Below are 19,713 nucleotides of genomic sequence, written 5' to 3'. Positions count from 1 at the left end.
AGGTTCAGGTGTTTCACATTTGAGTGACATCTCCTCAGTTCTCTTAGTTGTATGTCTTTGGAACAGTTGGGAAAATGTAGTTCTTATTTTCAGTCACATTATAGTGAACTTTTAGTTATGGATTACATTAGTTAACTTTTAATTTCTTCTGTTTCTTTTGAAATTTTATTTCATCTTTTAGTTGATTGCCTTTTCATGTATATTAGGAAGTTATTCAAATTCCACGTATGTGAAAGACAATTCTTTAGCACATAAAAACTTATTACTTCGTGAGGATAGAGGAAAGAGAAAATACTAAAGTTATTCTAATTAGAGAAATGGGAAGTGATATTTGAGACAAATTAATCATATCTTTTTTGATTTTATAGGGAAAGGATCATTAAGTATCATGAAACCTGTACTGTAGTTGTTCTCTGCACCAAGCATTGGCCACAGATTGGCATCCCATGGGAGTTGGTTAGAAATGCAGAATCTCAGATTCCGCCCCCAATCTGCTGAATCAAAATCCATGTTTTATATAATAAGATGTCCAGGTGATTTAAACACACGTTTAGATTTGAGAGTCACTAATCACTCATTAGTGCTTCCCAGTCTTTTTCAAGCTAACGCAGATATAAAATGAGTCCATTGCATGAGGTGAGAGGATTAGTACCCAGCATGCTTGTCACTTACCTGTGGCAGACTACAAATTAGGCAGATCAAAAATTAGAGAAAAAATATGTGATTTCATGGCTTGAGATTTTGACGTTAAAATATGATGCATGCAGTTCAAGAAGAACAGAGGTGGCTGCAGAATTACATTCTGGCCAAATTATTGGGAATAATTTGCATCTTCTAAAGTGCCTGATTGCAAAGGGCACTGTGAACTTGGCTGTAAATAGTAAGGGAGCTACAACATGGGTGACAACCAGTTTTAAAGCACCTTCTATCTACTGGATTTGCTTTGAGTGTGTAATTTCTAGTCCTTAGAAAATTCCTATACAACCTAGACATTGTTTCCCTGCTGTACAGATGAGGAAACAAAGACATGGAGGCCAAAGTCACACAGCTGGTTTGTAAAATGGTATGGGCCTGTGAGAACTGGTTAAAGCCAAGAATGAACGGACATTTGCATAAAACCCTGAAGAGAATACAAAAAACAAATAACCTGTGTGGAAGAAAAAAGAAGAGATAGACTGATTTCTTCGAAAATGCAAGTGATATAATTACTTTGCTCTTTTTCTCTTTTCTCCTTTTACTCCTAAAATTATTTATAGCTCTCCTGTTGCCAAAAATTGTATGTCTAGTCAGGCACAGTGGTGAGCATCTGTAGTCCCAGCTCCTCAGGAGACTGAGTTGGCAGGATCACTTGAGCCCAGAAGTTTGAGGCTAGCCTGGGCAACATAGTCCATAAGGAAACTATGGGAAGTAAGCTGAGAAGGTGAGTAGTAAATTGTTCAAGAATACATAGGCTAATGGTGATTACTGGATTTTGAACCCTAAGTAACTGAAAGAGAAATACACATTTTTCTATGATCTAATAAAAAGCAAGCATGTTGTATGCATGAAAAGTTTTTTGATGCAAGGTGGTGTACATTGATCACATAACACAAAGGGCAATGTGTTGTTAGAGTGGCTCACATAATTACAGGCTTCCCCCATAATGGTTGGGAAGCTGGAAAAAAGCCTCCAAAACCTACTTGGAACGAGAGCGTTCAGGTACTTGGTTGGCGGGAACTACTGACCGTTCCAACCACATGCTATAACTGGAATAGGGCCCTTCAGGATCTTCCTGTCCTTGCTGTCACTCAGCTCAAGATTCACAGTTCCAAAAGAGTAAATATAGTATGTCTACCTTGAATTGCATGCACATGTCTTGTATAAAAAAAGACAGAAACCTGGATTGATTGCTTTCCCAAGCCTGCACATGATGGGGCTAAAGTTATTCCCCACAATGAGCTTGGGAAGCAGTTTGGTAGGGGAAATAGATGTGGGCTGGCCATGAGACCTTGTTATTGCATATGGATATTTAGCAATAGTTTGTTTTGCTTTGTGTGTGATAGGTAAGTAAATAGAACAGTGAGGTCAATAGAATGTGCACTTTATGCTGGTTCATGTGCAACTTTTGCTAGGCAAGAGGAGTGTGACCAGATGGAATAGAATTATAATATATACTTTAATGGTATAATGTGGGATTGTATTTTAGCAGGAAAGGAAAAAAATAGGTGAGAATTTAAACTTTCACTCTGGCTGTTGCATCAGCAGGAGCTTTCTCATTTCTATTGAAAATGAAATGAAAAATGAACACCTGTCCCCTGGGGTTCCCTCCCCAGAGAGGCACACGCTAACATTATGCTCTGTGGCAGGTTGCCCTGTCTGCTGTGCTCACCTTCACAAAAACCCCCAGATTACTGCATTGTTTTGGTGCCTTCAAGCCAGCATCTGTTGTTTTCATGTATTCTCAGTATCACCTTTGGCAGCGTGCAGCCACTCTTGGGTAACTGCCTGGGTTTCTTATTTCTTAAGTATTGATTTTTAACAAAATAGCCATCTGATTTCAGAGTTGCATAGGGTTTGAGTAGTCTGCTTTTTACCCTGTATTTTACGTAAGTCCTTTCATTTTTAGTGAACATTTTTGCTGAATATGTGGTCTTCCCAGTAACATATATTGTGTTATAGCAGAAATATCTACATAAGAAGCAGTGAACCACAGTGTGTTCAAAAACTGTGTTCCAGAGGAAACAGAAATGTTCTTTAGGTGGCTGTTTAAAAATTGGGCTCAATAATGAGCAAAAACATGTTGAAAGGTCAATCTTTGAAGGTATTTTTATGAGCAATTAATGATCAGATTCAGGAATGCAGCCTGGTGATGACCTACTCATGGATTCCACTCTTCTACCTCTTAACTTTCCACCTTCCTGGGGCCAATTGATCCAGAAATTGTTTGAGCCCACTAGGATTTTCAATTCTTGGATCCCCCCACCTTTCACAGTCACTCACACCCATGGCATCTTCCATTTCCATTTCTGTTGTGTGTCTTTTTCCATGCTGGTTGGTTCCAGCAGGACAGGGATCTTTTTCCCCGATGTATCCCAGGTACTTGGAAAAGTGTCTAGCACATTCTAGGCACTTACTCATTCCCTAGATACCTATTAGCGCAGGCAGAGTTAGCTGCTAGATGTGAGTGCTTAGCCCTAGGTGCCTCTCTTGGGTAGCATTGTCTCAGCTGTTCTTCCTTTAGCAGTTGAGTAGGAGACATGTGCACAGAGCAGTTGATGGGAGGACTTTTTGGGAAGAGTCCTTAAGATTGATATTTATATGCAGAAATGACTGTCCAGAAGGTTTACCTAGGTTTAAAAAAATTGATATTCAATTTGTTAAAGTTGCAAATTGAAGGACACTGTTACACTTTTTAAAAAATTCAGCTTATAAATCTCATTTATAAATTAAACATTTTAATCACTTTTAAGGGATTTTGAATTACAAATTAGTCTTGTTTATAAACTCGTTAATATCTTCAACATTTAAGCTTGCCTTTACTAATTTAATATTTGGTTTCTATTTTTAAAAAGTCTATTAACACAAACCTCAAGTACTTAACTCTTCTTATAAGTTAATTAGACTTACAAGTGAAACAGCCCTAAAAAATTCTCTTAGATGTTTCAGTGTTGTGCATAAACTTCCTTAGGTTTCATCTTGACCACAAATCTGAATCAGTTACACAGAGGGAGAAAGGACAGCATAATCTAGTACCCCACTGCTGGTGGGTTAACGTGGAGTAGAGGACAGCCTCTGTGCCTTTGTCTTTTCATCAATAAAATGGGGATAAGAGTACCTACCTCCAGAATTGTGATGGGGATTAAATAAGTATATACACAAGCACATAGGTGCGGAACTCAGAAAGGGCCAGTCCTATATTAAAATCCTTGTTAAGTGTTACTGTTTTAGATTGGGGTTTTAGATTGGGGTTACAAGGCCAGTTTCTAACAGACCAAATTCTTTCAACTATAAAATTATTTAAAATATAAAATATATCCTGATTTTTTGACCCCCAAAATGTTAATACGATACTTTTGATTCTGTTAAATCCTTCTGCACTTTTCTAGATCTTCACAGAGATAAAAGATGTATATTAAGTTAAGGAAGTGAACTGCCACCCTAGTTAATTTGATTACTTAATTTTTAATCCTCCTTGGTTTGAAAGATAGTTGCTAAGTCTCCATTATCAAAACTCCAAAAGGGGATGGCTCCTGGCCTCACGTGATCTAATTCTGAATGAGGAAAGACAGTGAATTACTTAAGGTGTCGCCATGATAAACTAGGGTAAATCATGAATATTTTCAGAGATGTTACTGCCTCACAGTTGTATGATATGTTCTGTGAGTCTTATTGGTTGGTTGTAAAAGCAAGCTGACAGCCTTCAGAAGACCTTCTTTGTTCAGCACAGAACCTGGAGGTACTTGATTAATTCAGTAGTGTGTGGAGAGAAACAGTGGGGCAAGGAGTTCTTTGGTTTGACTCTCCAAGCCAGATGCTAAAATCAGTCCGGAGGACTGTGACAGAGTTCCAATCACAGTGCAACAAGATTTATATTTACCTAGAATCTAATTGGACTGAGATTTCCTGCAGTTATATTAAAATCCTCTGTCCTTTTTTCTTAGTGAGCAAGCATTTGAACTCCTAAGCTCTGGAGATTTAGCTTTAGCTGGCTCAATTAATTGTTAAATGTTCCCCTTATTATAATTATACATAGATGCCTTACTTTGTAGTAGCTAAGAAAATTGCTGAAAGAGTTGTTTAATCTGTTATACTCTATCAGTTTTGTAAAAAGCTCTGTTTAAAGGGAAACTATTTTCATTTGAAGTGGCATGGTGGTATTTGAGTTGGATAACGTAATTTAAATGGAAATGCAGGAATTTGGCTCTTTTTCTTGACAGAGATTGGCTTGTATTTGACATTGACCCATGTGTTTGTCATCTTTCCAGATATTGCCTTCTATTTATTCTGACAGCTTCACCAGCTGAGAAAACCAGACTTTCCAAAATTAAAAATACTGTCTATGAAGATGGAGCAGTGTATTTTGTTTGTTAAATTACTTTAAAATGTATGTGGACAAGAGTGATTTGTTGTTTTAAAAAGTTTTAAATACTGCAGAATAGATGGCTGTGCATGAATTTTACTTTGGAGCTATGTGAATACCCTAAATACTAGAAAAAGTGAGGATAAATGCTTCACTATTTTACTCCTTCCTTAGTATTAGTCTGAGTTTTATAATGCGTATTGTAAGTACCAGAGATAGATGGGAGAAGGTAAGTTAGTCACTTCATTCTTTTAAGTGAATGCTTAAATGCCTGGAAATGGGTAAATTTCTAGTCACTTTACCAAGTCCATTGAATTCATACATAATGACTATTTGTCATTATATATGCATTAAATATCCAGTACCTTTAAGTCTTTTTCATTATTTCACCATTAAAAATGTACTCAAGCTAATTAGGCATCATAGTATATGTTACATATGAAAGATACTCCACCACTGTTCACTCATTTAACCCCTAAATGTGTTTTCTGACTTACATCTCTAGATTTCCCTATTCAGTTATGTTTGCAAGGAATGCCTTTTCAGTTATGTACAGAGTGATAGTGTAATGTGTAAAATGATAAACCAAACTTTAAAAGGCAAAGGTACAGTTTTATATCCCTTTGAAGGCTGCAGGCATTGTTCTGGCTTTCTTTGTGTTGGACAGATGTTGATACTTGACAGATGGAGTGTTAGTGTCTCACTGTAGACTGATCAATAGAGATTCATATAGTTTAAAAAAAAAAGTTGGGAGGGGAGCTTTGATTATAGTTATACCTCTCTTTTAGAAAGGGAAAGTGGAGTGAGTTTATGATACAGATTTTTAGCATAATTTCAATATGTTGTTTTTTATTCTTTTTTTTTCTGAGACAGGGTCTTACTCTGTCACCCAGGTTGGAGTGCAATGGTGCAATCTCTGGCTCACTGTACCCTCCACCTCCCAGGCTCAAGCAGTCCTCCCCACTTCAGCCTCTCAAGTAGCTGGGATCACAGGTGCATATCACCATGCCTAGCTGTGCTTTTTATTCTTAATTTTTTCATTAACATTTTAATTTGGGCTCTATTTGTAAAGCTCTGTATAACTTGGCTCTAAAGCAGGCTATCATTATTATTAGACAGTATTTAGTTTTTAGACTTTACTTGTCCTGGCCATCCCATTGTGCTGGTATTATAAAACATAGCTACTGTGCAGTTACCAAATTGATTGTGGCAATGTTAGTAATACTGTGTATAATTATAATTTTTCCTTTTTAGTAGAGGGAAAGGAAATGTCACAAAAAGGTCTCACCTGGTATGCTGTATTTTTACATCCTTAGGAACAGTTTAACTGAAAAGTAGTAGTTTAATTACCACTATTTCACAGCATAGAAATACACATAAGGTTTTGAAGTTTGCATCTGGTAATTACTCTGTTAGCACTCAGACTTGGGGAGATGATATTTCTTCCTTGCAAGGAGTTATATAACTCAGTTTCTAACTAGACAATGGAGACTTGATTTCCAGTTTATTCTCTGGACTGGCTGGAAGATATTTGGTTGGAGAAAAACTCGGAGCTATCTTTCAGGGTTATAAACCAGAATGATTTTGAAGTCTGCAGCAGCTATCCCCAAAATAGATATTTGGCATCATGGAGCGCAAGCTTTTTAAAGATTGCAGTTGGCATTTAGGTCAGGATTGGTGGAGGCTGGCTGTTGTAGAGACCATCAGTTTTGTCATATGTTTTACTTCTATTATCTCCCAGTTGTCAGGATTCTAAGTGCTGTGGCATCTGATACATGAACGTACGGATTTCCAGCACCCTTTTCAGTGTTGTTTCTCTAACTTAGCTTCTGTAATGATTAAGCGTGGTCCATTTTTATGTTCTCTCCCCTGAATTTACTTACTGCTTCTTCTTTTGCCCTTTGAGTACATTTATAATATTTGGCTATAGACTTCAAAAATTTTTCTTGGCTGGGCGCGGTGGCTCACGCCTGTAATCCCAGCACTTTGGGAGGCCGAGATGGGAGGATAATGAGATCAGGAGATCGAGACCATCCTGGCCAACATGGTGAAACCCTGTCTCTACTAAAAATGCAAACAATTAGCCGGGCGTGTTGGCGGGTGCCTGTAGTCCCAGCTACTCAGAAGGCTGAGGCAAGAGAATGGCATGAACACGGGAGGCGGAGCTTCGCGCCACTGCACTCCAGCCTAGGCGACAGCGAGACTCCATCTCAAAAAAAAAAAAAAAAAAAAAAAAATTTTTTTTCGTCTATGAGTTTCCTTCTGCATTTTCCCTTTTTGGTGAACAAATAATACATTTTCAAGGAATAAAATTGAAAAATGTGGACAAGTAAAAGTTAAAATAGAAGCTACTTAACCACTGTTAACATTTGTTGTATGGTCAGTTTTCTTAGTGAACGTATATGGAGTTAAGCTATTCGCAGTTTTGTGATGTGGTTCTTAACATGTCCTGAATTTATTTCCATGCCACCACTTGTAAATCTGAACTGTTCTGGCTGCTTTGTATGCCATTCATGCTGAGATTCATAACCTGGGGTATATGGCCAACCAAGGCAAATTTAAGGGATTGTGAACTTGGGTGAGGAAAAAATTGCATCTTTATTTTTACCAGTTCATCAAATGTCAAATGACATTCAGCATTCACTTCATTTATGAAGCTAGGTGATAAGCACAGCAATACTGGCAGTGCCTATGACATCAGTATAAATTATAGGTATTCTCCTATCACATCACATGGAAAAAACATCTCAAAATAATGTTTATATTCCACATTACTTTGAAAGTATGGAGGTTATTCAGGGAGTGACCTCTAGTAAATCCTGTTATTTAATGAATCAACAAAAAAGTACACATATTACTATATTACAAGTTTTTTATATTATGATAAGTATTTCAATATATGTTGCTTTCGTACATTAAAAAATTTATTTAAGAACAGGTATATAGAATGCTAAAGTCATCCATGGCACAAAAAAATATGACATGCTCACACGCTAATGGCTATATGCCACAGTTTAACTAGTTCTGTGTTGTTGGACTTGATGTTTTCCAAATATTCTCCGTTCTAAACAGCAGTGATGAATATCGATAAATTTATTTCAGCTCACTTTCCTAAGGAATGGAATTACTGAGTTAGTATGTCTGGACATTTAAAGGTTTCACACTTCTTTCTAACCAGCCCTAGTGTATCGTAGGGCTTTGGCCTATAAAAGTGACTGAATTTGTAGTTTTGAAATTGAAGAAATGTCCTTATGTAACTTTAATGTCAACAAAAAAGAGAAATTGGAGAAATGTTGTGTCAATAGAACAGGAGACTTTGTATAATCTTTGAAGGGTAAATCTTTGCCACCATGAGTGGATCAGACATATTTTTGTGCTCTTCTTTTGGTCCCCGGGTTAAGGGTGTGGAAAGGAGGTAGAGCTGTGGTATCACAGAGGATATCGTCCTTCTAATATGAAGTAAAATATAGATTATAATCTGAGAATTTAGGATAGTATGATTTTGGTCAGCTTTAACTCTTATAAATAATACAATGTTCTAGAAAATTTGTTTGTCGGTAGTCCCTATATTTTTGTGGAAGAACAGTCATGTATTCTCTCTCAAGTCCTGATCAAACCTGTACAGAAGTGGAGTATGAAAGAGGGGAGACTGAGTAGTGCCAGCAGACACCATCCACCTGCCCTCACAAAGAATGCCAGGCAGTCTGCAGGAGAGGTTAACATCACTTATTCCTACTTGTGCAACCTTATAGTAGAGTCGTGCTAGGAACTTGACTTCACTGTAAAGTCTCTTAGGGGAGGAAGTTGTGACTTTGTCTGCTGCTAGGGGTTGATTCATAATCCTAGGAGAAGGTAATAGTTGAATCAACCTATTTTGATCATTCTAAATTAAGAGCTCTGTGTTCTACTTTTTAATGCATCATCTGTTCCTAGCTTTTTCTGTTTAAAAAAATTAGAATATTTTCCCCAAAATATGTGTTCTGGATGCCACTAGGGCATCTAGAAATTTAAATTTAATGGATGAAATTTAAATATTTTGCCGATTTAAAAATAATTTATAAAAATATTTGAGTAAAGTGGCCGAAAATACTGAACTGTGAATCAGGAGGTGTGGATTCTCGGCTTGGTTCTTGAGCTACAGGCAAAGCTTCTGTTACTCCATTGTATGTGGCCTCCATTCTCTTTGTTCTCCCATGCTCTATCTCCTGCTCCACCTCCAGCCCACACATTTGCCTTCAGACTACTAGGAAGAGTAAGAAGAGCAAGGCTTCCACTTTTCAGGATTCAGTTTCCAGAAGTTGAAATATTATAGGTCTGCTTATATTTTATGGCTAGGACTTTGTTGCATGACCGAGTTAGCTGTTAGAGAGGCTGGGAAGTGTCTTTATTCTGAGAGGCCATGTGTCCAACTGTGTACCAGATGTTTTTTATTTTTTTATATTTTATTTAATATTATTATTGTTATTATTATTATTGCTTCTTTGTTTCTGAGATGAGGATTCACACTGTTGCCCAGGCTGGAGTGCAGTGGTCATCATAGTTCACTGCAGGCTCATACTCCTGGGCTCAAGAGATCCTCCCACCTCAGCCTCCTGAGTATGTGGGACTACAAGCATGTGCCACCATGCCCAGCCTTCTTAATAAGGAAGAAGGGGAGAATAAATATTGGGCCCAGCTAGCAGTCCCTGTTTCAGAGACAAAAAAAATAAGTAACCATTAAAATTATTGAAGATGGCCGGGTGCGGTGGCTTACGCCTGTAATCCCAGCACTTTGGGAGGCCGAGGTGGGTAGATCACCTGAGGTTGGGAGTTCAAGACCTGCCTGACCAACAAGGTGAAACCCTGTCTCTACTAAAAATACAAAATTAGCCGGGTGTTGTGGTGCATGCCTGCATTCCCAGCTACTTGGGAGACTGAGGCACGAGAATCACTTGAACCTGGGAGGCGGAGGTTGCGGTGAGCTGAGATCGCGCCATTGCACTCCAGCCTGGGCAACAAGAGTGAAACTCAGTCTTAAAAATAAAATAAAATAAAATAAAATAAGATAAGATAAGATAAGATAAGATAAGATAAAATAAAATAATAATTGAAGACATACAGTTGTTTCCATGTCTACCTCTTATATTAGATTGTGAACTTGTCAAGGGAAGGACAGTGTTTTTTTCGCCTTAGCATCTCCAGCACTTACGTGGCACATTAGTGGTGCCCAGTCAGTTTGTGTGTGAATGTTTTTATGAGATTATGATTCTTTTCCTTATAGAATCCTTCATATTCTTTATTTTTAATGTAACCTTGACAAGACTTGCCTATAAGACAAAGGGTCTTTCATATACTTTGTTTAGAATGGGGAAGTCTTAATTTTTCCTCCCAAAGTTCTCATACATTTTGTCTTCGCAGATGTTCAAAACGTAATTTTTCCAAGGTACAGATTACAAAAGGAGCATGCTAAAGCAACACTCTCATTAAGTGTTATATTGGCCTAGAGCAGCTGCACTCATTTGTTGAACGAAGTCTGTTGTGAATACGGTTTCATATAGAAAGCATCCAGAGCCTCTTAGGGCTTGAACAATAAACAGAAGCTCTCGTCTCATTTTAGGAATCAAGAAGCATTTAGATACTTTAAATACTATGACCTTGCTGAAATCTGTGCTAATTTTGATTATGAAAGTGACAGGTGGACAGCAGATTACCAGACAAAATCCCTTACAACCCTAGAATTCTTTTTATCCTGAGTATATTGTATATTTCAGAAAGCAAAATCACTGTATCATAAGGAGATGGATGATTGCAATCATAAGGAGATAGATGATTGGAAATTACTGTGTAGGTGGAATTGTTTTTTCAAAATACCTGTTGAATAGTTGTAAAATGACATTTGTAATTCACAGTGGGCTGAAGATCTTTAAAGGAAAAATGAGGTCTCAATATTTATTGTCATAGGAAAGTGTCTTGATGTTTTAAATTATTCTTAAAGTATCTTTATTCAGGCCAGGCGCGGTGGCTCACGCCTCTAATCCCAGCACTTTGAGAGGCTGAGGCAGGCGGATCACGAGGTCGGGAGATCAAGACCATCCTGGCTAACACAGTGAAACCTCATCTCTACTAAAAATACAAAAAATTAGCCGGGCGTGGTGGTGGGCACCTGTAGTCCCAGCTACTCATGAGGCTGAGGTAGGAGAATGGCTTGAACCTGGGAGGCGGAGCTTGCAGTGAACCGAGATCGCGCCACTGCACTCCAGCCTGGGTGACAGAGCAAGACTCCGTCTCTAAATAAATAAGTAAATCTTTATTCTTTGACTTCAATTAGAAGAAGTAAGACCTGCCCAAACAACAGCAATGACAACAAAAACCCGAATGAAAACAACAACGATTTAAGGGAGAGAAGGAGTAGGTATGGGTAGATTTCGAGAGTCAGGGAACAGGTTTCATTTGCCCTTTCAAGTTTATATAAACTAAAGCAAACAATTAAATTTGAAGCCTGCTGACACTGTAATAGATTTCAAGTAAGCTGGTAGAATTTAATGAAGTGTATTAGATGTCAGCTATAGTATTAGTAGCATTTTAACAATCAGCCAATAAAACAAGAGCACAGTCTTCTGTGCCTGCAACTTTGTAGAAGATGTTTTATAGTGGTATGGTACTGCAAGATAAAAAAAGTAGAAAGGATTTTAGCCCTTGATCCTTCATTTTGTGGGGAGAAATTGCTCTCATTTAGGGAAGTGATACGTTAGTAATAGGCATTGAGTGGGCAGATAACTGAATAGAACAGGTTGTAAGTTGGTGGCATTTGGGTCCTGAAGGTTGAGCAGGATTGTGATAGGACCTGGTTGGGAAGAGCGGTTGTAGTAGCAGCAGCGTGAGGATGGGCATGGCTTGGTCTTGATTGAATGTGTCTATAGGAGAGGAGAAACAAAGCCAGGTGAGCAGACTTTGCTTGCTGAATGAAAAGGGTGTCTCTGTTTTTCCTTTACTTCTCATCTGTCATTGTGTGACCCTGGTGGTTATAGTTTGGGGCAGCAAATTCTGGGTCCTTACCTTATTACTGTTTGGGTGTTGATTTGATAAGTTCATTTCTCTTCCTCTTTTCTTTCTTTGACAGAGTCTCACTCTGTTGCTCAGGCTGGAGTGCAGTGGCACCATCTCTGTTCACTGTAGCTTCTGCCTCCTGTGGTCAAGCAATCCTCCCACCTCAGCCTCCTCAGTAGCTGGGACCACAGGTGCACGCCATCACACCTGGGTAATTTTTTTTTTCTTTTTGTAGAGACAGAGTTTTGCCACGTTGCCCAGGTTGGTCTCGAACTCCTGGGCTCACACGATCCACCTGCCTCGGCTTCCCAAAGTGCTGGGATTACAGGCCTGAGCCACCGTGCGCAGCCAATAAGTTTCTTTTAAGGTGCATCTTTGCATGCTTTTTTCTGCTTTAAGCATGTCTTACACAGCTGTGTGGATGTTTCCTCTTCCATGAAAGAGTAATCACTCAAGAAGAAAAATCACTCACGGGATTGTTGTGATTTCTAGTAACTAACACTCAGAAGTACATTTTTGTGTGTGTGTGTGTGTGTGTGTCTGTGTGTGTGCGTGCGCACGTGCGTGTTTAAGAGACAGGATCTTGCTTTGTTCCCCAGGCTGGCACGCAGTGGTGCTATTATAGCTCACTGCAGCCTCAACCTCCTGGGCTTAAGTGATCCTCCCACCTCAACCTCCTAAGCAGCTGGGACTGCAGGTGCCTGCCACCGTGCCCAGCTATTTAAAAAAATTTTTTTTGTAGAGATGGAGTCTTGCTATGTTGCTCAGGCTGGTCTCGAACTTCTGACCTGAAGTGATCCTCCTGCCTCCACCTCCCAATGTGTTGGGATTATAAGTGTGAGCCACTAAGCTTGGCCATAAGTAAATTTCTCTTAAACAGAATATCAATCTCAGAAGCAATTCAGTATATATTAATATATGCCATGTGCCTTGTTTGTATATTTAAATCCATATAGGATATTTAGCCTACTTTTAATAAATTTCACTTAATGTTGACATTGTAACTGATTTGAAATATATAAGAAAATCATCCAAGAGTATGTTTTTAAAAATGTCTTTTAATCTTGAATTTTGCTAACTTAAAAAAATCCGTATTAGTAGAACATCTTTCCAGAATGGCAATTAAACTTTTATTTTCTGACATTTTGGTTGTATTTAAGTCCTAACTTTCTAGAAAGTTGGAGGTAAATATTTGAATGGGAAAGAATATTAAATGAATATGTACATTAGTCTTAACAAGGAAGGCTTCCAAGAAATAGAAGATGCCTGTGAAGTACAGGAAAATAATTGGTGTGGGAAATTTTGTAGCTTGATGCTTGGACTGTGGAACAGTTGCATTTACAAAACTGAGAACTGCAGACTACAGTTAACTGTCATTAATTTCTTTGAATAGAAATATGTTCCATTTACTGTACAATCAGGAGCCAGGCTTGAATGAGTTTAAATAGATGAAATCTAAATTATACTGACAGTCTATTAAACAGTAGCAGAAAACCTGTAAAGAAAATGGATTACTAGTTTATAATAAAATCATTTGCCAAATAAGAATTATAACACACGCATTGTGAATTGTCCTGTGTATTTCCAGTGAGCCCTGTAAATTGGTTGAATCATTTATTGTAAAGCCCAGGCTCCTAGTGCATTGTTTTCTGAAAAGGAGCAAGCAGTGTTGCTTGAAATCTGCGCTGCAGGATGTGACACCAGAAGATCAGACGAGCAATTTGTTTGTTGTCAGCCATACGGGGAGAGAAGAATTTTCACCCAGCCTACCTGTCACTGATGATGTTTTCCTATAAATACTGGGCACAATGTTCTAGAAGTGTTTGGACTCTTTGCATTGATTTCTTGAATGTACATTATTTCAGCCATATATCAGTTCTCATCATTAAGTTAAGGATCTGTCAGCATTTCCATTAGTAATCATCCTCTACTTAATAGGGTTCAGAGCATAGTTTTTTTGGGGGAGGGGATGAGTCGTTAAATTGAGGATAGAATTGTCACCTGCATTTTTAAGCTTTAGGAAATTAGATACTCTGAAGTATCAAGGGGACAGAAAGAGTGAGTGAAGCCTGGAAGTTCTCTTCCTTTGTGTCTGTGGTGCCACAAGCACTACTTCAATAGGTAGATGGCTGTCACTGAATTTTAAAATAGATTTCCCCCCTTGGATTACTTTTATTCTCTTACAGCACATAAGCTGTATATGAACACAAGTTTTATACTAGTATAGAGATCCACATCAGTTAACTGGAACTTGGATGTTACATTGGCTAAACTCACTTTCATGATAGGGACTCAACCAACACAGCTGACAAGGGGTGCTATTTAAGGAACGTTTTCAGAGTAAAATAAGGAGATGAGAGTGCTTACAGTGTTCTTTGCTTGGGTAATATAAGTGTCCAACCATGGCTAATATTTAGCATATCAGTATAACTAATAAGATTTCTGCTACTGGCAGGATAATTTTGCTTTTTCTTGTTCCACAGAGTTCGCAAGTTTGTATAGCATATGATTGATTTGGGAAGCGGGGGTCATGCTTCATGCTGCAGCAGTTAGTCCAAAACATCCACATCACTGTTATTTTTTATTTTTTTAAGAGACAAGGTTTCATGCTGTCACCCAGGCTGGAGTGTAGTGGTGGTACAGTCATAGCTCATTGTAACCTCAAACTCCAGGGCACAGGCAGTCCTCTGCCTCGGCCTCCCAAAGTGCTGGAATTACAGGCATGTGCCACCATGCCTGGCCCAGCATTATTTTTTAAAGTTGGGAAGATAATTATCTGAGATCAGTTTTTAAGTTTTCAATACATTGGGAGATTTCCTGACTTTTAAAGGAGAAAAGAGAAATGTAGGAATTTTCAACAAAATCCCTTTTAGTTTATTATGACCTGTTCCCCTCAACTTGTTTGTTCTCATTATTTAACTGTCCTTGTTAGCAATGAGGATAAAGACAGATGAATGTTTGCTAGAAATATTTAGTGTTCTGTGTTTAGTGAGGCTTTCTTTGTAGCACTACTTGGGAATCTATAGACATTTCAATACATGGAATGTAATTATTATGTTTAAAAAAGAGGGGAACAAAGATATATGTTATCTGGGATCTTTTCCCACCAAGTTTAGAATCCTTAAGATGATGCAGCTGATTTTGATAACAGTTGATAAACAGAGTAAGGGTAAGGACTGGGAAGGCTTCATTTATGGAGGTGCACTTTTCCCAATTTTTGTTTCCTTTTCCATGTATGTATGTGTGTATATATGTACGTATGTATGTATGACTGAGTGACAGGGTCTCACTCTGTCACCTAGATTGGAGTACAGTGGCTGGATCATAGCTCACTGCAGCTTTGAACTCCAGGGCTCCAGTGATGCTGTCACCTGAGCTTCCTGAGCAGCAGTCCTTTTCCCTTTTAAATTCTCCAGTGTTACAGTCAATATGAGTACCCCTCACAGCAAAAGATTCTGGCAGGAAACTAAAGTAGGTTACCTGGCAATCGAGTTATTTCCTAAAGAAGTATTAGAATACAGCATTTGTTTTGTTCATATTGATAGAGCGTAGCAACTTTCTTGCTAGGATCTCTCTCTTCTTTTTTTTTTAAACCATGTCTCTGTTTAGTTTGTTTGTTCCTCATATAATTTTTGAGTGTTTACTATGAAGAACAGTGCATTGTTTATAGAGTTGAGGAATGGTGATGGGTTTGGCTGTTTTATGGTTTGGGAGACTAGAACTGGGAGGGTTTGTTGGAGGACATGCAGTATGCCAGAGACTCTGGATTGGAATTTGGGTACCGGGATTTCAGCGTTGTTTCCAGCATGCACACACACATAACATATACACTCTTTGTGTGTCTTGGAAAATGGAGGACATCTGTTTTAACTGTAGAGAGATACTTGTGGATTTTTTATTCTGCAATATTAGACCAACATACTGTACCTCATTGACTGTTACCTCCAAGCATTGAGGGTGGAGGAGTCATGTAGAGGAGAAACAGAAAGCAGAAGAGCGGTGCAGTCCTGAGAGTCAACTTCCCATTTCACCGCTGTGCCACCCAGCTTGGTCTCTGAGAAATCTCTTTGTGAGAAAGTCTTTGTTCATGCGTGCTTTTTACAATGGGGTTTTCTATTGGAAATTATATCAGAGTGGCACTGCCATGCTTTGCAAAGGGATGAGAAGGTATTTCAAAGATTAATAGGCGGAGACACATTGATGGAAAGGAAAATTCTTTATGAGGTGGAGCAGTGGCTGAGCATTGCCTATATATGTTGTGACCACAGTTTTAGTACTGGCGTGTGTGGCACTGCTTGCTAAATTAGTGGGTGAGGTAAGTGTCCACTCTGCTCTGTAGGAGGCTGTCAGAAAAGATGCTGACAGGTTCTTTGTGTTTCATAATGACACACTGCCTAATGCTTCAGACTGAGATTTTTACCCTTGAGGGGACTGTGCTTTTGCTATATTTACATAAACCTGCTGATTTGCTGAGGGTTGAAAAAGCAGAGAGGGCCTTCTTTGCCTTGAGAATCTGCCTTCACGTTTTGGCTGACTTCCTTCCCCAGCTTAGCAAATGCTCTGTTGTTTACAGATGGCACAATAGATCTTTGGACATGAAGCTATGCTGAGGTTGTGAGAAACAGCCAGAAATACCTCTGTTCAGTATCATTGCCCAAATTACGGATTTTGTTGCTCCCTGTTCACAAGGATTTGAGGTCACTTAATCCTGTGATCCATTCCCAGACAGAGGTTAGGTGTTAAGAGAGTAGGTCTCAACCTAGACCCATGGTTTCATTTCTAGACATCCCTAGTAAAGACACATTAGTTATCATGTGTTGTTTGGACTAATTGATATTGATGGTAATAGCCTCACTCATTTTTCTGGCCCATTACAGGCATGCTGATTTGAAGATTTAAAAAATATATATACTTGCCCTGCCAAAACCGTTTGCTCAATTCTGGTAAATACGTGTTTTTACATGGGTGATTCTGAAGATGTGCATTATGCATTTGGTGGATCACATCAGCTTTGTGCAGTTCTTTCAGAACTGCTAGCTTTCTAATAAAAAAAGAAGTATATGCAGTGCTTGGGGGCCGTGGGAGATTTTCAGATTGAGAATCATTGATCCTACTGACTAAAACCAATTTTATAACCAGCTTCAGACATCCCATGCACTCATAAATTGCATGAAAATCTTGCCAAATCATTTTGGCTTTAAAAGATTACTGGGCATATATTCCAACTGAGATTTTAACATTGCTCTTGACTACGTTCTTATCTTTCCCTTTTCAAATAAAGCACTTTATTTTTGTGCTATAAACATTTATATAAATTATTTTCTTAAATAGCTGCTTGATTAATGAGCCAAGGGGAAATGCTTTTTATATGAGAATTTGGCTTTAATTGAACCTTGTTTTGAATATTTTTAAGAGTAATATAAAGTAGAATTTTTTTCTGTGAGACTTGAATTCTAAATTGTGTTTATTTTTTGTTGGGTCATCCTAATATTTGTCAGAGGGTTATAAAGAAAAGTTTGACTGTACAATAGTTCGTCATGCTTTGATTTTAAAAATGAATTAGACAAATCAGGTCAAAGCAGTGTATTTTTTTCCCCATTCCTATGGCAAGTTTTACATAGTGTGAAACATTTTTAGTTCTTATTACTCCAGTCTTAGCCATTCTGTGTTTCATGACTATGTATGTAAAGTTTTTTTTTTTAACAGCCACCCTCCAGTGGCTTACAAAACTGTAAGTTTTGTCACTTAATTTTGCAGTGAGCTTCTCTAACTTTTTCATATATGTGTTTCAAAGTACTGATAGAGCTCACTTGATGCACTCACCCATTTTACAGATTATTAACCTTGTGTATTGGACTGTCTGATATGAATTCATAGCTTTGGATCAGTTTGAGTTGCCATGGTCGTTTTTTAAACAAAAAGAGGTGGCTTTTAATCTAAGGAAAAGTAACAGTGGTCATTCCGTATGTCCGGTTGAGGATCTCTCTCATGCTTATCCCTCATGGCAGCATTTCTCAGGCCAGGTGTGTGAGGCAGCTCCAGTACAACTGCTGAGAAGTGTTTAGGCAAACAGATGTGCTTGGCTGCTCTTGACATACCGGCATGTTCCTTTCCTTCCTTCTCTAACAGAGCTATATCCTAGTGTATTTACAGGCACTTTTCTTGAATGTAACTTTGCAGCGGGAAATGAAAGAACATAGGTTCTTTTTCCTTTTTCTGGAAAGCTTTTTTGTATGTAAGTTAGCTTTATATCTCACAGTAAGATGGTGTGTAGTAATGATCCTATGGATTATTTAAAGTATATATAAATAAAGCTTTTCTTTGTGTAAAAAGAAAAACATGCGTAGTCTTTGCTTTCCAAGTGTCTCCCATTTATTTCAGGTTTTTTTTTTTTTTTGAGACAGTTTCACTGTCACCCAGGCTGGAGTGCAGTGGCGTGATCTCGGCTCACTGCTATCTCCGCCTCCTGGGTTCAAGCAATCCTCCTGCCTCTAAGTCCTGAGTAGCTGGGATTACAGGTGTGTGCCACCACACCCAGCTAATTTTTGTATTTTTAGTGTAGTTGGGGTTTCACCATGTTGGTCAGGCTGGTCTTGAACTGACCTCAGGTGATCCACCTGACTTGGCCTTATTTTTTATTTTTTATTTTTTTTAACCCCCACACTAATGGCAGACATTAGTCCTTGGTGAGTACGGGGAAGGTAGAATTGAGTACATTTCTCTGAGCCTACAAGATTGATAGTAATTGTTAGTGGACAGTGCAGACCACCTTACTGCCAAATAACTTGACAAGGAATGTAAATTGTTAATGTTATGTAAAAGAAGGGAGGTGTTGCCATTTAGTTACAGAGGAGCCATGAGGAGTTACTCCATATGGAACTGATAACTAATTCTAAGGTTGGTGTGATCAGGGGCTAGTAGAAGGAGAGAAGAAGAGTTTTGCAGACTGGGAGCAGAGTTGGGGTTTCTTGTAGTGAATGCAGCCTAGGGGAAGATGGGGTGTGGAGTGAGACCAGACCATTGAATGCAGTAAGTTTGTCACTTGAGCCTTAAGAAGGTAGAAGCAATTAATTAGAAAGGGACCTATTAGTTCTGAAGCCAGTGAGTAGTAGCTGTAAGAGTTAAAGAATGAGGAAAGAAATGCGAAAAGTGGCTTAACAGTCAAAGACAGGCTCATTTTGGAGAATAAACCGGAGAGGGGCTTCTGGCTGATTTTGGTCAGGAGCACTGTCTATTACAGACCAAGAGTATTACTTAAGGATTTAGGGCAGGAGAGCTTATCACAGGCTTGGAATGTTTCTGTGTGGAGGAGAAGTTTATTGTGGGGTTGGAATGTTTTGGGGCTGACATCTCTCCAGCCAGAGGGGACGTTATCTCTGGGCTGGCATGTCTGTGGTCAGAGAGGGGTTTATCTTAGGATTGGAATGTTTGTGGTTGGAGATGTCATTTGTGGTTTATGGTCATGATGTCATTAGCCATTAGGCTGATGCCCTTTGGGTTGGATTTAGGCAGTTTTTGATCAAGGGGAACTTGAAAATGGTGGTGCTTGTCCAAGATGGTGATGCTCCTGCTCTGTCAGTAGCTAGGCTATGATGGTGTTAATGTCATGAAATGTGGTATGTAGGAAG

The 19,713-nt window shown here is 38.6% G+C and overlaps 1 protein-coding gene across 2 annotated transcripts in view, besides 2 other annotated features; it reads left to right on the top strand.

The window, feature by feature from the left end:
• RERE (arginine-glutamic acid dipeptide repeats) overlaps window positions 1–19,713 on the top strand; it is a 465,237-nt gene that overhangs the window by 171,561 nt on the left and 273,963 nt on the right. The window lies entirely within an intron of this gene.
• Window positions 2,302–2,431: a silencer, noted in NCBI's record as "silent region_197". NCBI's record gives its function as "represses an Ori minimal core promoter by ATAC-STARR-seq in GM12878 lymphoblastoid cells {active_cell/tissue: GM12878}" and the evidence as "EXISTENCE:reporter gene assay evidence [ECO:0000049][PMID:35858748]".
• Window positions 16,141–16,260: an enhancer, noted in NCBI's record as "active region_107". NCBI's record gives its function as "activates an Ori minimal core promoter by ATAC-STARR-seq in GM12878 lymphoblastoid cells {active_cell/tissue: GM12878}" and the evidence as "EXISTENCE:reporter gene assay evidence [ECO:0000049][PMID:35858748]".

The sequence above is a fragment of the Homo sapiens genome, chromosome 1 (assembly GCF_000001405.40).
Source record: "Homo sapiens chromosome 1, GRCh38.p14 Primary Assembly".
In the NCBI taxonomy this organism is placed as follows: Eukaryota; Metazoa; Chordata; class Mammalia; order Primates; family Hominidae; genus Homo; species Homo sapiens.
The sequence above is the reverse complement of the archived record's forward strand: the minus strand, read 5'-3'. Positions and strand labels throughout refer to the sequence as shown.